The sequence below is a fragment of the Homo sapiens genome, chromosome 11 (genome assembly GCF_000001405.40).
Source record: "Homo sapiens chromosome 11, GRCh38.p14 Primary Assembly".
In the NCBI taxonomy this organism is placed as follows: domain Eukaryota; kingdom Metazoa; phylum Chordata; class Mammalia; order Primates; family Hominidae; genus Homo; species Homo sapiens.
The window spans coordinates 16,705,539-16,718,684 of NC_000011.10; the positions used below are offsets into that span (position 1 = coordinate 16,705,539).

Below are 13,146 nucleotides of genomic sequence, written 5' to 3' on the forward strand. Positions count from 1 at the left end.
ATGGCTTGAACCCAGGAGTTCAAGGTTACAGTGAGCTATGATAGTGCCACTGCACTCCAACCTGGACAACAGAGCAAAATCCCACCTCTAGGGGGAAAAAAAACTATGTTAATGGGCATACAATGTATAAAGATTTAATCTGTGACAATCACAACATCAAGAGGCAAGAATGGAGCTTATATAGAAGCAAAGTTTTGTATTCTATTGAAATTAAGTTGGTAGTAATTCAAACTAAATCGTTATATATTAAGATGTTAATTGTAATCTCCAGGAAAATCACTAAAAAAATAACCAAAATATATTTTAGTAAAAGAAATGAGAAAGGAATAAAAACAGTACAATAGAACATATCTAATTAACATAAAAGAAGGTAGTAATGGAGAAATGTGAACAAAGAAATGACACATAGAAAACAAATAGCAAAATGGCAGAAGTCCTTCCTAATCAGTAATTACACTAGCTATAAGTGGATTCAACTCTCTAATTGAAAGGGGGAAATTTACAGAATGAAGAATTTGTAATTTGATTGTGCAAATGTGATCTTGACCAATGTTTAAATCAGTAAGACTAGCAAGGTTCATTATTGTGTCCGTTTATGCTATAAGATATTGTGAGAGGAGGCTGGGTGCAGTAGCTCACACCTGTAATCCCAGCACTTTGGGAGGCCGAGGCTGGAGGATCACTTGAGGCCTCCAGTTTGAGACCAGCCTGGACAACAAAGGAGACCCCATTTCTACCAAAAAAAAAAAAGTTTTTTTAATTAGCTGGGTATAGTAACACATTCCTGTGGTCCCAGCTACTCAGGAGGCTGAGGCTGGAGGATCACTTAAGCCTGGGAGGTCAAGGCTGTAGTGAGCTATGATTGAATCACTGCACTTTCCAGCCTGGGTGAAAGAGTGAGAACCTATCACAAAAAAAAAAAAAAAAAAAAAAATATATATATATATATATATATATATATATATATATATATATATATATATATAGTGTAAGACGGTATTTTCTAGTAATGGTCATGTTTAGCAAAGGGCAGTGGAAAAAAGGGCCCAGCAAACATGCAGGAAAATGAGAAGCAGAGAGGGGTTGGGTGGAGGAAGCTAAGATATAGGGGGTAGGAGGGAGTTCACTCCAGAGTTCCAGAGTTGGGTCTGGAGGGGGAGAGGAGTTTGAGTTTGGATTTTTGGATTTGAGACCCTGTACATTTTCATTAAAATGACAAATTAGCCATTTTAATATACTTTATTATTTTAATAGCATACCATTAGAAAACCATTTTTTTTTCTGCTATATCTGGATGGCCCTAATAAATTATTCTAGGCAAAAATTCTCCTATCTGCACATTGACTCTTTGTCATGTTCACTATCATTTCTTTCTCTATGTTACTGGCTTATTTTCACCTTCAGATTTTGTTTTTACTTTTAGAATGAAAAAATGCACACTGGGAATAGATGTACCTTTCCATAATAGTGTTATCACTTTAAATAAGCGAAATCATTCAATAATGAGTGGATCTTAAAGGCAGTGTTCTCCTTCCTAGTTATAACCCAGTTCTTTACTCTTTCCCAGTAGTACTCCAAAATAAATGCCAAATAAAATCCTTAATATGGAATTTCAGTTCAAATGCTCACAAATTAAGCAAAGAAGCAGTGTTTTATTTAAAATAAATTAGTCAGTTTTTCCATTTTCTCTTTCAGCCTTAAGAAATAAGATATAGTTAGTTTTAAATGTAAAACTTAGTACACTATGCAAATCATGTCTGTGTGTCAAAGAAAAATAACAAACTTAATGAGGAATGTTAAAAAAAAAAAAGCAGAACCCATTAGTTTAAAGATACATAGGAACAGCCAAAGATGACAAACATACACAAAATTCAAAACATGGTAGGGAAAGGGAATAGGCACTGAAACACATAAATCAGTGTTTTGAATTCTTTTTCTCTGTGGATATAATTGTACCTTAGTTTCTTATAATGATTTATTGAGGTAAATATTCTGTATGGTTTAACAGCTACAGCTTCAAAGTGTCAGGCACAAGCTCTCCTTTATTCATGAGGCAACTGAGTATTGGGATGTGAATTCACTTCTGTATTCCAGGACTTGGCAAAGTTTGTTTTTAAGGTCCTTATAAAGAATTCATGTTGATGCAGTCTATTCAAATGTGAAAAACACTGTGCTATAATGAGTGAAATAGAAAACCTTTACAGTAATTCTAGAGAAAAAAGTAAATAAATTGAAGTAAGCCACACAGAATTACTTTCAGCAAAGTAAAGAATGCCCCTGAGTTCATCTTAATCCACTTTTTCAGATTTTCAGATTTAGGGATGCCTACAAACCCCCTTCATCAGATGGGTTACTATACTAGGAACTGAATCTAATATCAAAACAAAAAGAAAATAATCAGAGAGAAATAGAATTAAGTCTCTGTCTATAATATTCAGATAAGAAAGTATTTTGGGTTGATTTTCAATTTGCACATGTTACTGCTCTGAGACCAAGGTATTTCCAACAGCAAACAGTAATAACAGTCACACAGTAGTTTATTAAAACTACCATATAGCCACTTTATAGTTTGGAAAGGGGAAACAAGTAATTTACCAAATATATTTCCTTTTAAAGTATTATGCCAATAGAAGTTATACATGGATACTTAGGGCATACAGACCTAATGAAACCTTGAAATTCATTGATCTTACGTTTGTTTATGTCAAGCCTTTCAGCAGAAAATTCAGATTTTTGCCAAGAAATATATGTGCCTTAGATGTATAAGCTCAATATGAAATAAAGATTTGACCTGCCTAGACAGTGGTCCTCTGATGCATCCACATTCTTATGCATCTGCCAAAGTGGCTTTATGATTCCCCACAAGGTAGTTTGATAGTTTGATGGTATAGGTGCCAAATAAAAGTAAATTTAAAAAAATTAAAACACATAGTTTAAAAATATACCTACATTTTTTGTAATGAGATTCTCTCATTTCCAGATAATATATCTTATGCTTTCAAATTTTGTTCAATTGAGGAAGTATTTTGCATTATTAGAGAGCAAGATCTCACTAATAAATGGCTTTTGCCTTCTTGCTAATTCCCTTTATAATTAAGAATTACCTAAAAACTCTGCCTGCTTAAAGCTACTCATTAAATTATAAACTTTTTCTTTATCCTCATAGAGCCTAACATAGCCATGCGTGGGGTACATGATCGGTAAATAAAGACTTATACCGGATAGCAACTTATTAGTTTAAAATGGCTCTAGACAAATTGCATTACTTTTCAGGTAACATATTTTTCTCCCCAGAATAATAACTTTTTCACACAAAAAAATTCACTAAATAAATATACTATAAGATGTGATGTTTTGACATTACTTTCTGGCAAAACACTTACTAATTTACTCAACACAACTTCTAGTCAGAGAATATCATCTGGAAAAATATGCATTGTGTACCATGTTTAAATGACCCAAAATGTTTTGCATTGCCAATACAGAATGAAGAGGTGGCATCTTGTACAACTCTAAAAGTAGCTGATACAGTTGGATATTTATCCCCACCCAAATCTCATGTAAATCCCAGTGTTGACAGAGGGGCCTGGTGGGAGGTGATTGCATCATTGGAGCGGATCTCTCATGAATGTCTTATTGCTGCCCTCATGATAGCGAGTTCTCATAAGAAATGGTTTTTTAAAGGTGTGTGGCACCTGGCCAGGCATGCTGGCTCACACCTGTAATCCCAGCACTTTGGGAGGCTGAGGAGGGTAAATCACTTGAGGTCAGGAGTTCGAGACCAGCCTGGCCAACACAGCAAAACCCAGTCTCCACTAAAAATACAAAAATTAGCTGGGCATGGCCACAAGCACTGGTAGTCCCAGCTACTTGGGACGCTGAGGCACGAGAATCACTTGAACTCAAGAGGTGGAGGTTGCAGTGAGTTGAGATCGTGCGACTGCACTCCAGCCTGGGAAACATAGCAAGACTGTGTCTCAAAAAAAAAAGAAGTGTGTGGCACCTGCCCTCTTCTCACCATGTGAGAAGTCTGTTCCTCCTTTGCCTTCCACTATAAGAAAAAGCTCCCTGAGGCCTCCCCAGAAGCCAAGCAGATGCCACTGCCATGCTTTCTGTACAACCTGCAGAACTGTGAGCCAATTAAACCTCTTTTCTTTATAAATTTCCCAGTCTCAGGTATTTCTTTATAGCAAAGCAAAAATAGCCTAACACAGTAACTTTCTGTGCTATAACTTCAAGTTAAGTTCATTTGAAGCCAAGATAATCATGAGCTCCTAAAAGTCTAAAAAACAATTGATGCAGAAAATGGTGCAGAAAGAAGAATGCACCTTCCAAAGAATGAATATCTCACACTTCTCCTCTACCAGCCATCCATTATCAATTCTTTAATTCGTTCAGCAAATACAATAAAACTTTATTACTTTATAATTTTTGTATAATCTATATTTATTTACTTTCAAATGCTATTTATTACTTATTTATGCTTGCTTTCATTGTTCATCAAATGCTATATTTTTCTGTGAAAAGAGAGGGTATCTTGGATTGGTATAAAATGCATTATAATTTTTCCTATTAGAATTAATGAAAATATTTTCTGTTTTATAGGTTTTCACTAAAGAGCAGAATTTTCCAAAACAAAATTAACATCTTGAAGGGAGAGATAGGTGTACCCTATTCAACGTTTCTAAAATTATCATAAAACTAGAGAAGAAAAGAATATCAACTCTGCATCCCATATTTTTCAGGTAGTATTCAAGTATATGTGTTAGTTCATTAATCCTTAGAATAACCCCACGTGAGAAGTACCTTTTGAGAAGGTGAGAAAACTAAGACTCAATGATGTGAAATGAAGTGTTCAAGGTCATACAACTAATAAGTGGACGAGCCAGAACTCAAATCAAACATTGCCAAGTCCAATGGCCATTTCTCTGTGCTTATCTTCACTTCTCATCAGCATTCAATGAAATCATCAACTTCCTCCTTCTTGAAACCCTGAGTTCTCTTGGCCTCCAAATACTGTATCTCCTGGTTTATTTCATCCTTATTAAGAGTTACTACCTCTTAGCCTCCAGTGTTGAACTACCTCTTTTATCTGACTTACAAGTTATAGGGTTTCTCAGACTCAGGCCAGAGCCATCTGAAATCTATCTCTTTTCCTGGATGACCTTATCCATTCCCATGGATTTGAATACCATCCCTTTATTGATAACTCCCAGATATATCTATACTTAGCCACGACTTTTGTGAGCTTCAGGTTTGACTATCTATCTACTTTGTTTCTTGGTATTTCCACATATATATCTCAAAAACATTATAAATTTAATGTGTCCAGAGAAAAAGATTAACAAATCATGATGCCTACCCACCCAAATCTGTCTGTCTCCTCCCATTTGGGTAAACAGAAAATTTGTCCATAAGTTGTTCAAGCCAGAAACCTAAGAGCCATCTTTTTATTTTCCTTTTCATTATCCCCAATTCTAATCCATCAGCAAATCCTGTTGTTTCTAAGATATATCTTGAATTGCTCTATATCTCTTCAGCTCCACCTCTACCACCTTAACCCAGGTCCCCATTATTTCTCACCTGAACTATGCAACAGCTTCACTTCTACTCTTGACCTCCTCCAATCCATTCTCCATACTGTAATAAGAGTAAATGTCTTAAGACATCAAATCAATCACTCTCCTGCTAAAAACATTACAGCAGGCCAGGCACAGTACAGGCTCATACCTGTAATCCCAGCACTTGGAGAGGCCAAGGCAGGTGGATCACTTGAGTCCAAGAGTTCAAGACTAGCCTGGGCAACATGAGGAAACCCCGTCTCTACAAGAAAAAAAAATGTTAGCCAGGCATGGTGGGCCTATAGTCCCAGCTACTGGGGGGTGGAGATGGGAGGATCACTTGAGCCTCGGAGGTGGAAGCTCCAGTTAGCTGTGATCGTGCTACTGCACTCCAGCCTGGACGACAGAAGGAGATGCTGTTTCAAAAAGAAAACCCTACAATGGTTTACTTTTAAGATAAAATCTTAAAATGGCACTTAAGATGAAATCCAAACTTCATTTCATGATCTAAAAGCTCTGCCTATCTTTCCAACCTCAACTTATGCCAGTCTCCCCTGTTTTCACTATACTCTAATACTTACTGATCATCTTTCTTTTTTTTTCTCAGCTCAAAATGTTATGTTTCTTTTTTTCCATAAGTGATTGGGGTACAGGTGGTATTTGGTTACATAGGAAAGTTCTTTAGTGGTGATTTGTGAGATTTTGGTGCACCCATCACCTAAGCAGTATACACCGCACCACATGTGTAGTCTTTTATCCCTCATCCCCCTCTCACACTTCCCCGCAAATCCCCGAAGTCCATCATATCATTCTTATGCCTTTGCATCCTCATAATTTAGCTCCCACATATCAGTGAGAACAGATGATGTTTGGTTTTCCATTCCTGAGTTACTTCACTTAGAATAATAGTCTCCAATCTCAGCCAGGTCACTGCAAATGCTGTTAATTCATTCCTTTTTATGGCTGAGTAGTATTCCATACACACACACACACACACACACACACACACACACACACACACACCACAGTTTCTTTAACCACTCATTGAGTGATGGGCATTTGGGTTGGTTCCATGATTTTGCAATTGTGAATTGTGCTGCTAAAAACATGCAAGTGCAAGTATCTTTTTCATATAATGGCTTCTTTCCCTCTGGGTAAATACCCAGTAGTGGGATTGCTGGATCAAATGGTTGTTCTCCTTTTAGTTCTTTAAGGAATCTCCACACCATTTTCCATAGTGGCTGTACTAGTTTTACATTCCCACCAGCAGTGTAGAAGTGTTCCCTGTTCGCCACATCCATGCCAACATCTATTTTTTTTTTATTTTTTAATTATGGCCATTCTTGCAGGAGTAAGGTGGTATCACATTGTGGTTTTGACTTGCATTTCCCTGATCATTAGTGATGTTGAGCATTTTTTCATATGTTTGTTAGCCATTTGTATATCTTCTTTTGAGAATTGTCTATTCATGTCCTTAGTTACTAGAACACACTAAGCTCTTTTCAGCCTCAAGGCCATTTCACATGCTGTTCCCTTTACCTAAAACACTTCCCCATTAATTACCTAGCTAGCTCCACCTCACCCTGAATCACTACCTTTTGAAGCAGACCCACACCATACTGTCACAGTCCCTTGTTTGTTCCTTATGGCACTTACTATATAATTGTTTTATGTAGTTGTCTTTTTATTGTCTACCAAACTAGAATATAAGCTCCATAAAGGCAGAGACTAATTAGTTCAATTATTTATACTGTTAATTATTATATTTCCCATGCCTGGCACAATAAATAATAGCTCTCAATAAATACTGTGAATGAATGAAAGCCAGGTGTGACTGATTCCAAACAAATATTCTCTCCACTATATCATGCTGCCACCTTAAAGGATCTTAGAAATCATCTAGCCGACCCTCTTCTTTTACAAATAAAAAACTGAGATCCAGAAAGACAAGTGATTTGCCCAAGGTGACACAGCATTAACTGACAGAGCCACAGTGACCCCAGACTTTCTGATTTCTGAATCAGATTTTTTCTTAGACAGCACATGGCCTTATGCTAATAGGTGCATCCAAACTATACCTAAGAAATTTTCTGCAAGTATGAGGTGGCCAAAAATATCAGAAAAAAACATTTTAACAAGCATTTACAAACTAATAAAAAACTAGAAAAAAATACAATTATAACAGTAGAATACAATGCATTACATTGCCAAAATCTTTTACTAAATTGTTTTTAAAAGAAAAATTTGAGAATATAGACAAAATAGTCCTCTATTTTACATTACATAAATAATTTACTTCACAATATAAACAACATTTTATTTCATATGGATAATACATTCAGAATATGCCTGCTTAGAGAAATCATACATGTGCTATTGTGGAAACAATAAATAAATAAGTAATAAAAAATTTAAAAAGGAGAAATCATACTTTGTTCCTAAAAATTTAAGTTTTCCTAATAGCTAGTAACTCTAAAATTCATATGAGTATAAAATTTGCACAATTTTGAAACTAAACAAGAAACCAAGCAAAGTATCTAGAGTTAATAATAATAGATAAAAGAAGGAACAGCCAAACCCAGGAATCCTACACTGCCTACTTTCAGAATTCAGTCACTGCTCTGCAAAACACTAAACCATGTATCAATTTACTCAATCCATGAAGCAATGTCACAACTACACTTCCCCAGCTCCTTCCACTCCTGCAGAACTCAAATCAGGCAGCTACTAAATCATCTCAAGTTGCTCCTGTCACTTGGAGAACCAATGGAGAAAACTGTGATCCAACTTTTCTTTGCCAAAAATGTTTTACTTCCCCACTAAGCACATGGTGTCCATACTCACGATTCTGCCCATGTGTGAATATGTTTTTTAATTGCCATAATAAAAAGCTAGAAAATATAACCTCCATCATGAACCACTTAGTTGTTAAAAACATCTATGCCTCCATTTAACTCCTTCCTCATATTCCAAAGAATTCTACATAATTTTTCAAAAGTATTAGAAATAATAAAATATAAATTATTTGACTTTTAGCATTGCAACACTATTTATTACTGCAAATGATAATTAGTTTAGCTATCTTATAGTTCAAATAGGTTTATGTAGACTATCCTAGCGAACAAGAAATTATGTACAGCATTGTTGTATGGAAAAAAAAAATCTGCTTCCATGGAACTTTTGTTTGATTTCCAACTTCCCTAAAATTACTAAACTTTCAAAGTTCTTTTCATACAATGTCATGTTCATTGTTTTTCCCTCAGAAAAATTTCCCTCATAAAAAAGAGGTTATTATAAATACCTTTGTTATTTACCTACCAGTTGTTCCAAATGTGTCTTTTAATTTTCTTTCTTTTTTTTTTTTTTTTTTTTCAGACAGAGTCTTGCTCTGTCGCCAGGCTGGAATGCAGTGGCGCATCTCGGCTCACTGCAACCTCCGCCTCCCGGGTTCAAGCAATTCTCCTGCCTCAGCCTCCCGAATAGCTGGGACTACAGGCGAGCACCACCACGCCCAGCTAATTTTTGTACTTTTAGTAGAGACGGGGTTTCACCATGTTGGCCAGAATGGTCTCGATCTCTTGACCTTGTGATCCGCCCGCCTCGGCCTCCCAAAGTGCTGGGATTACAGGCGTGAGCCACTGCGCCCAGCCGTTGTCTTTTAATTTTCATTAGGTCTTTTATGTCTACCAGATGTGTCTCTTGCTGCTCCTCATTAGAATATGCAAATTACCTCAGTATATATTGGACTTCTGTAGATTTCAAGGCTCTGATTTAAAAGTTGTCATTTAGAATCCGGCAAAACAGTCCTGTTGGAAAAGTTTCAAAAAATAAATTTCAGTACTTTGGAGCCCTTTCCCACTATAGAAACTAAAAAAATCCTGTGTCAAACATAGATAAATGACCCATTATTAGAGTACATTACAGTGGAATGTTACTAAAAGCATGAGTAAATCATGTTTACCTTGTACAGCATGGGACCTGCTCCCATTCTGTTATGGAAAGCCTAAACCTGCACTGTCCAACGGGATAGCCAATAGCCACATGGGGCTCTAAGGTGCTAGAAATATGACTAGCCTTAATTGAGAAGGGCTGTAGTATAAAGTACCCACCGGATTTTTGAATAAAAGAATCTAAAATATCTCTCATTAGTAATTTTTACAATTACATATTGAAATAATACTATTTTTGATATGTTGGGTTACATAACATATATTATAAACATAAATTCCACCTGTTGCTTTTCACCTTTTTTAGTATGGCTACTAGAAAATTTTAAATTACATATGTGATTCACATTTGTGACTCAGATTATATTTCTGTAGAATAGCATTGTCTTGCTATAATAAATAAGATTTTTATAGTTAAGTTAGTTTTTGGTGTTTTTATTTTCCCCAAAGAAATAGTTTATAATTAATGTGTTGTGGATAGCCCATAGGAAGCAAGGTCCTTAATGAAAACTTAAACTTTTAATGAGAATTAGAAAGAAAAAAAAAAGGAGTGGGGAATAAAAGAGGAACAGAAACATTGTAGGAATAGATAATAAACATTAATTTCCTCTCTACTCAAAGCAAAAAGTACTATATATTCAAAAACACTGTAACAGCTAAAAGTGTTTATTATTATTAAAACACTGCTTAGCAAGGAAGTAAAAAAAAAGATTAAAACAATAGTTTAATGGTTTTGAAGTTTTACTTTTTTCCAACTACTCTCAGTTCCTTGAAGGAACAAAAATTAGCAAAAAAGAAAAAAAAATCAACTGCTTTTCCCTGTATCAAATGATAGGTAGTAAGAAATTTCAAAGTTCTAGTCTCCAAAGAATAGTACTATAATATTTTTTTAAATAAGCATTAGAGGCCAGACACGGTGATTCATGCCTGTAATCCCAGCACTTTGGAAAGCCGAGGTGGGAGGATCAAGTACAGGCCAGGAGTTCAGGGACAGCCTGGCCAACATGGTGAAACCTCGTCTCTACTAAAAATACAAAAATTTATCCAGGCATGGTGGTGCACACCTGTAATCCCAGCTACTTGGGAGGCTGAGGCCCAAGAATTGCTTCAGCCTAGGAAGCGGAGGTCGCAGTGAACTGACACTGTGCCACTGCACTCTAGTCCGGGTGACAGAGCAAGACTCTGTCTGAAAAAAAATAAATAAAAAGCATTAGTAATCAGGTGTGGTGGTATGCACCTATAGTCTCAGCTACTAGGGAGGCTGAGGCCAGAGGATCACCTGAGCTTAGGAGCTGGAGGCCAGCTTGGGCAACATAGAGAGAACCCATCTCTTTAAAACAAAACAAAAAAAGGTATTAGTAAGGCTGGTCAGTATCCATGTATCATTTTCTTCTGAGAAAGTTCACATGCTTCATATTAGTGATCATTTCATTTCAATGGTTGTAAAGGAACAGTTCAAATTTTATGGTCTGAGCATATGGGAGTATAAATTGGTACAAGCAGTTTGGAAAACCTTTTGGCATTATTATCTACTCCTAAGCATATCCCCAACAGTAACACATGCACATTTATATAAAAAATATACAAAAATGTTCATAGCAGCATCATTCATAATAAGTCAAAAACTGGAAACAACTCACATACCCATCAACAAATGAATTCATACAATGGCATACTATATAGAATAAAATGAACCAACCACTACTAAAAAACAGTAATGATTCTCATAAATATAACATTGTGTAAAGGAAGTTAGATATAAAAAAATTGTATGATTCTATTTAAATAAAGCTCAAAAACAGAAAAAAATTAATTTATGATCTTAGAAGTCAGGATAGTTACCTTTGAGGGGGTCATAGTAATTGGGAAGGAAGGAAGGAGTCAGCGGCACTGAAAATGTTTTATTTCTTGACCCAGGTAGTGGTTATATAGATATGTTCATTTTGTGATGAATGAGCTATATATGCTTATGATTTGTATACTTTTCTGTATGTCTATTATGTTTTCATCAAAATATAAATCAAAAAATAAAATCTGTGGTCATACTAAAATTTTGTTTTATATTATGAATTAAAATATCATTTGAAATTAGGAATATTTTTGCTAAACTGAGTTTTTTAAATGTGGTTTTATCCTTAAGATTACTTTCATATTTGTTAAACTCATAGAATCACAGAGCGTTACAGATGGAAGAAACTTAGAATAAACTAGTTTGGCTCTGTGAGAAGTTAGGTGACTTGGCCAAGATCCTATCAGTATCAGTAATGAGACTAAAATTTAGAACTTTCATATTATATTACAGAACTTTTTAAGTTTTTAATTTCAGAGAGTTAGACTCCATTAGAAAGAACTAGGATTTCTTCTGAAATCTTGATTTATAATGCTAAAAGAAAAAAATCTACACGTCACCAAATGTTATTCATTTTTCTATTTCTTTTATAATAAAATAATGAATAAGTCATAAAACAAGGAAGGAAAATCATTCTTGGCTGTTTGGTGAGGAACTTTATAAGAATTGGTAACCTATGTCCTTTGTATATCTTTTTGAAACTTACTCTTCATGAAAACAGATATAGAACATTTGTATTCAATTACCGTATTAAAAACAGAACAGTCTCAATACACACTACCCTCTTTCTCTTACTTTTTGCAGCTTGTTTGTAAACAAGTTTAGCAGTAGCACAATCAAGAAGTATTGATTCCTTCTAGAAATGCACCTACATTTGAGCTATTCACAATTCACAAAAATTCAAGGATATAACTAGTTATTCTCCTCGTTTCCTTCAGACTTTAAAATATGGCAACTCTTCCTCTTTGTTCTTTTTTTTTTTTAAGCTTTTCTTCTGGCTCAGAAATGTAAAATAAGCTATGGCAACATCCATTATAACTGTTCTTTTCCTGTTTTTCTTTTTTTTTTTTTTTCCAACCATTTTGTTTTGGGGGAGGGAAAAGAAGGAAAGTTCTAAGAAAAGCTTTTTGTAACAGGTTCAAAAGTATAAAAGCCATTTCAAGCTCCAGACATTTGTAGCCTTTATTTCTTTAGTCCTTGAAAGGGCTTTTTAAATGTTAACAGCTAAGATAGGACTGCTTTCCTATACTGATGTTCCAGGCTTCATTTCCTTTGTAGTCTTGAGTTCTTCCCCATCCTCAATCCCCCAATAACCTCCATGCAGGCTTCTTTTTCAAAACAAAACAAACAACAATTTAAAAAAAAAAAAAATTTCATTCCTCATGATACACATACAAGCAGACTTCTAAGATCCCATACACAATGGACATCTCTAATGACTTAGAGAATTAAAATATTTTGCTTGAATTTCTTCTTTATTTGGTGATTTAATGTGCCCACTTATGCTTTCATTTCTAAAATAATAACATGTCACCTGCAAAGTTATTACAGCTAAAATAGCTAACAAGAAGCTTTGTTGACCCCCTCTTCAGGAATGCTGAAATGCAATCTTCAAAAAATACCAGCCAAAACATGTTCATTTATGTGTTTAAATTTTTTTAAATCAGTATGTACATATTATCCTGGTTCAGAAATAAATTACATATATGCCAAGAAACAAGTCTGAAACACTGTATTCCAAGGTCTTAATAGTGATTATTATTCCTGAGTGGTGAGATTATAAATGTTT

The 13,146-nt window shown here is 35.0% G+C and overlaps 1 protein-coding gene across 1 annotated transcript in view, besides 2 other annotated features; it reads right to left on the reverse strand.

Moving 5' to 3' along the window:
* The window catches only part of SOX6 (SRY-box transcription factor 6), a 772,029-nt gene that overhangs the window by 739,090 nt on the left and 19,793 nt on the right, over positions 1–13,146 (reverse strand). Inside the window, exon 2 of the mRNA NM_001367872.1 lies at positions 9,292–9,367. The gene's annotated coding sequence lies outside the window, so the exon portion shown is untranslated. The remainder of the gene's footprint in view (positions 1–9,291; positions 9,368–13,146) is intronic.
* Positions 3,327–3,827: an enhancer, noted in NCBI's record as "H3K27ac hESC enhancer chr11:16730412-16730912 (GRCh37/hg19 assembly coordinates)". NCBI's record gives its function as "activates a minimal SCP1, AML or CMV promoter by ChIP-STARR-seq in primed H9 embryonic stem cells {active_cell/tissue: H9 hESC(primed)}" and the evidence as "EXISTENCE:reporter gene assay evidence [ECO:0000049][PMID:30033119]".
* Positions 3,828–4,328: an enhancer, noted in NCBI's record as "H3K27ac hESC enhancer chr11:16730913-16731413 (GRCh37/hg19 assembly coordinates)". NCBI's record gives its function as "activates a minimal SCP1, AML or CMV promoter by ChIP-STARR-seq in primed H9 embryonic stem cells {active_cell/tissue: H9 hESC(primed)}" and the evidence as "EXISTENCE:reporter gene assay evidence [ECO:0000049][PMID:30033119]".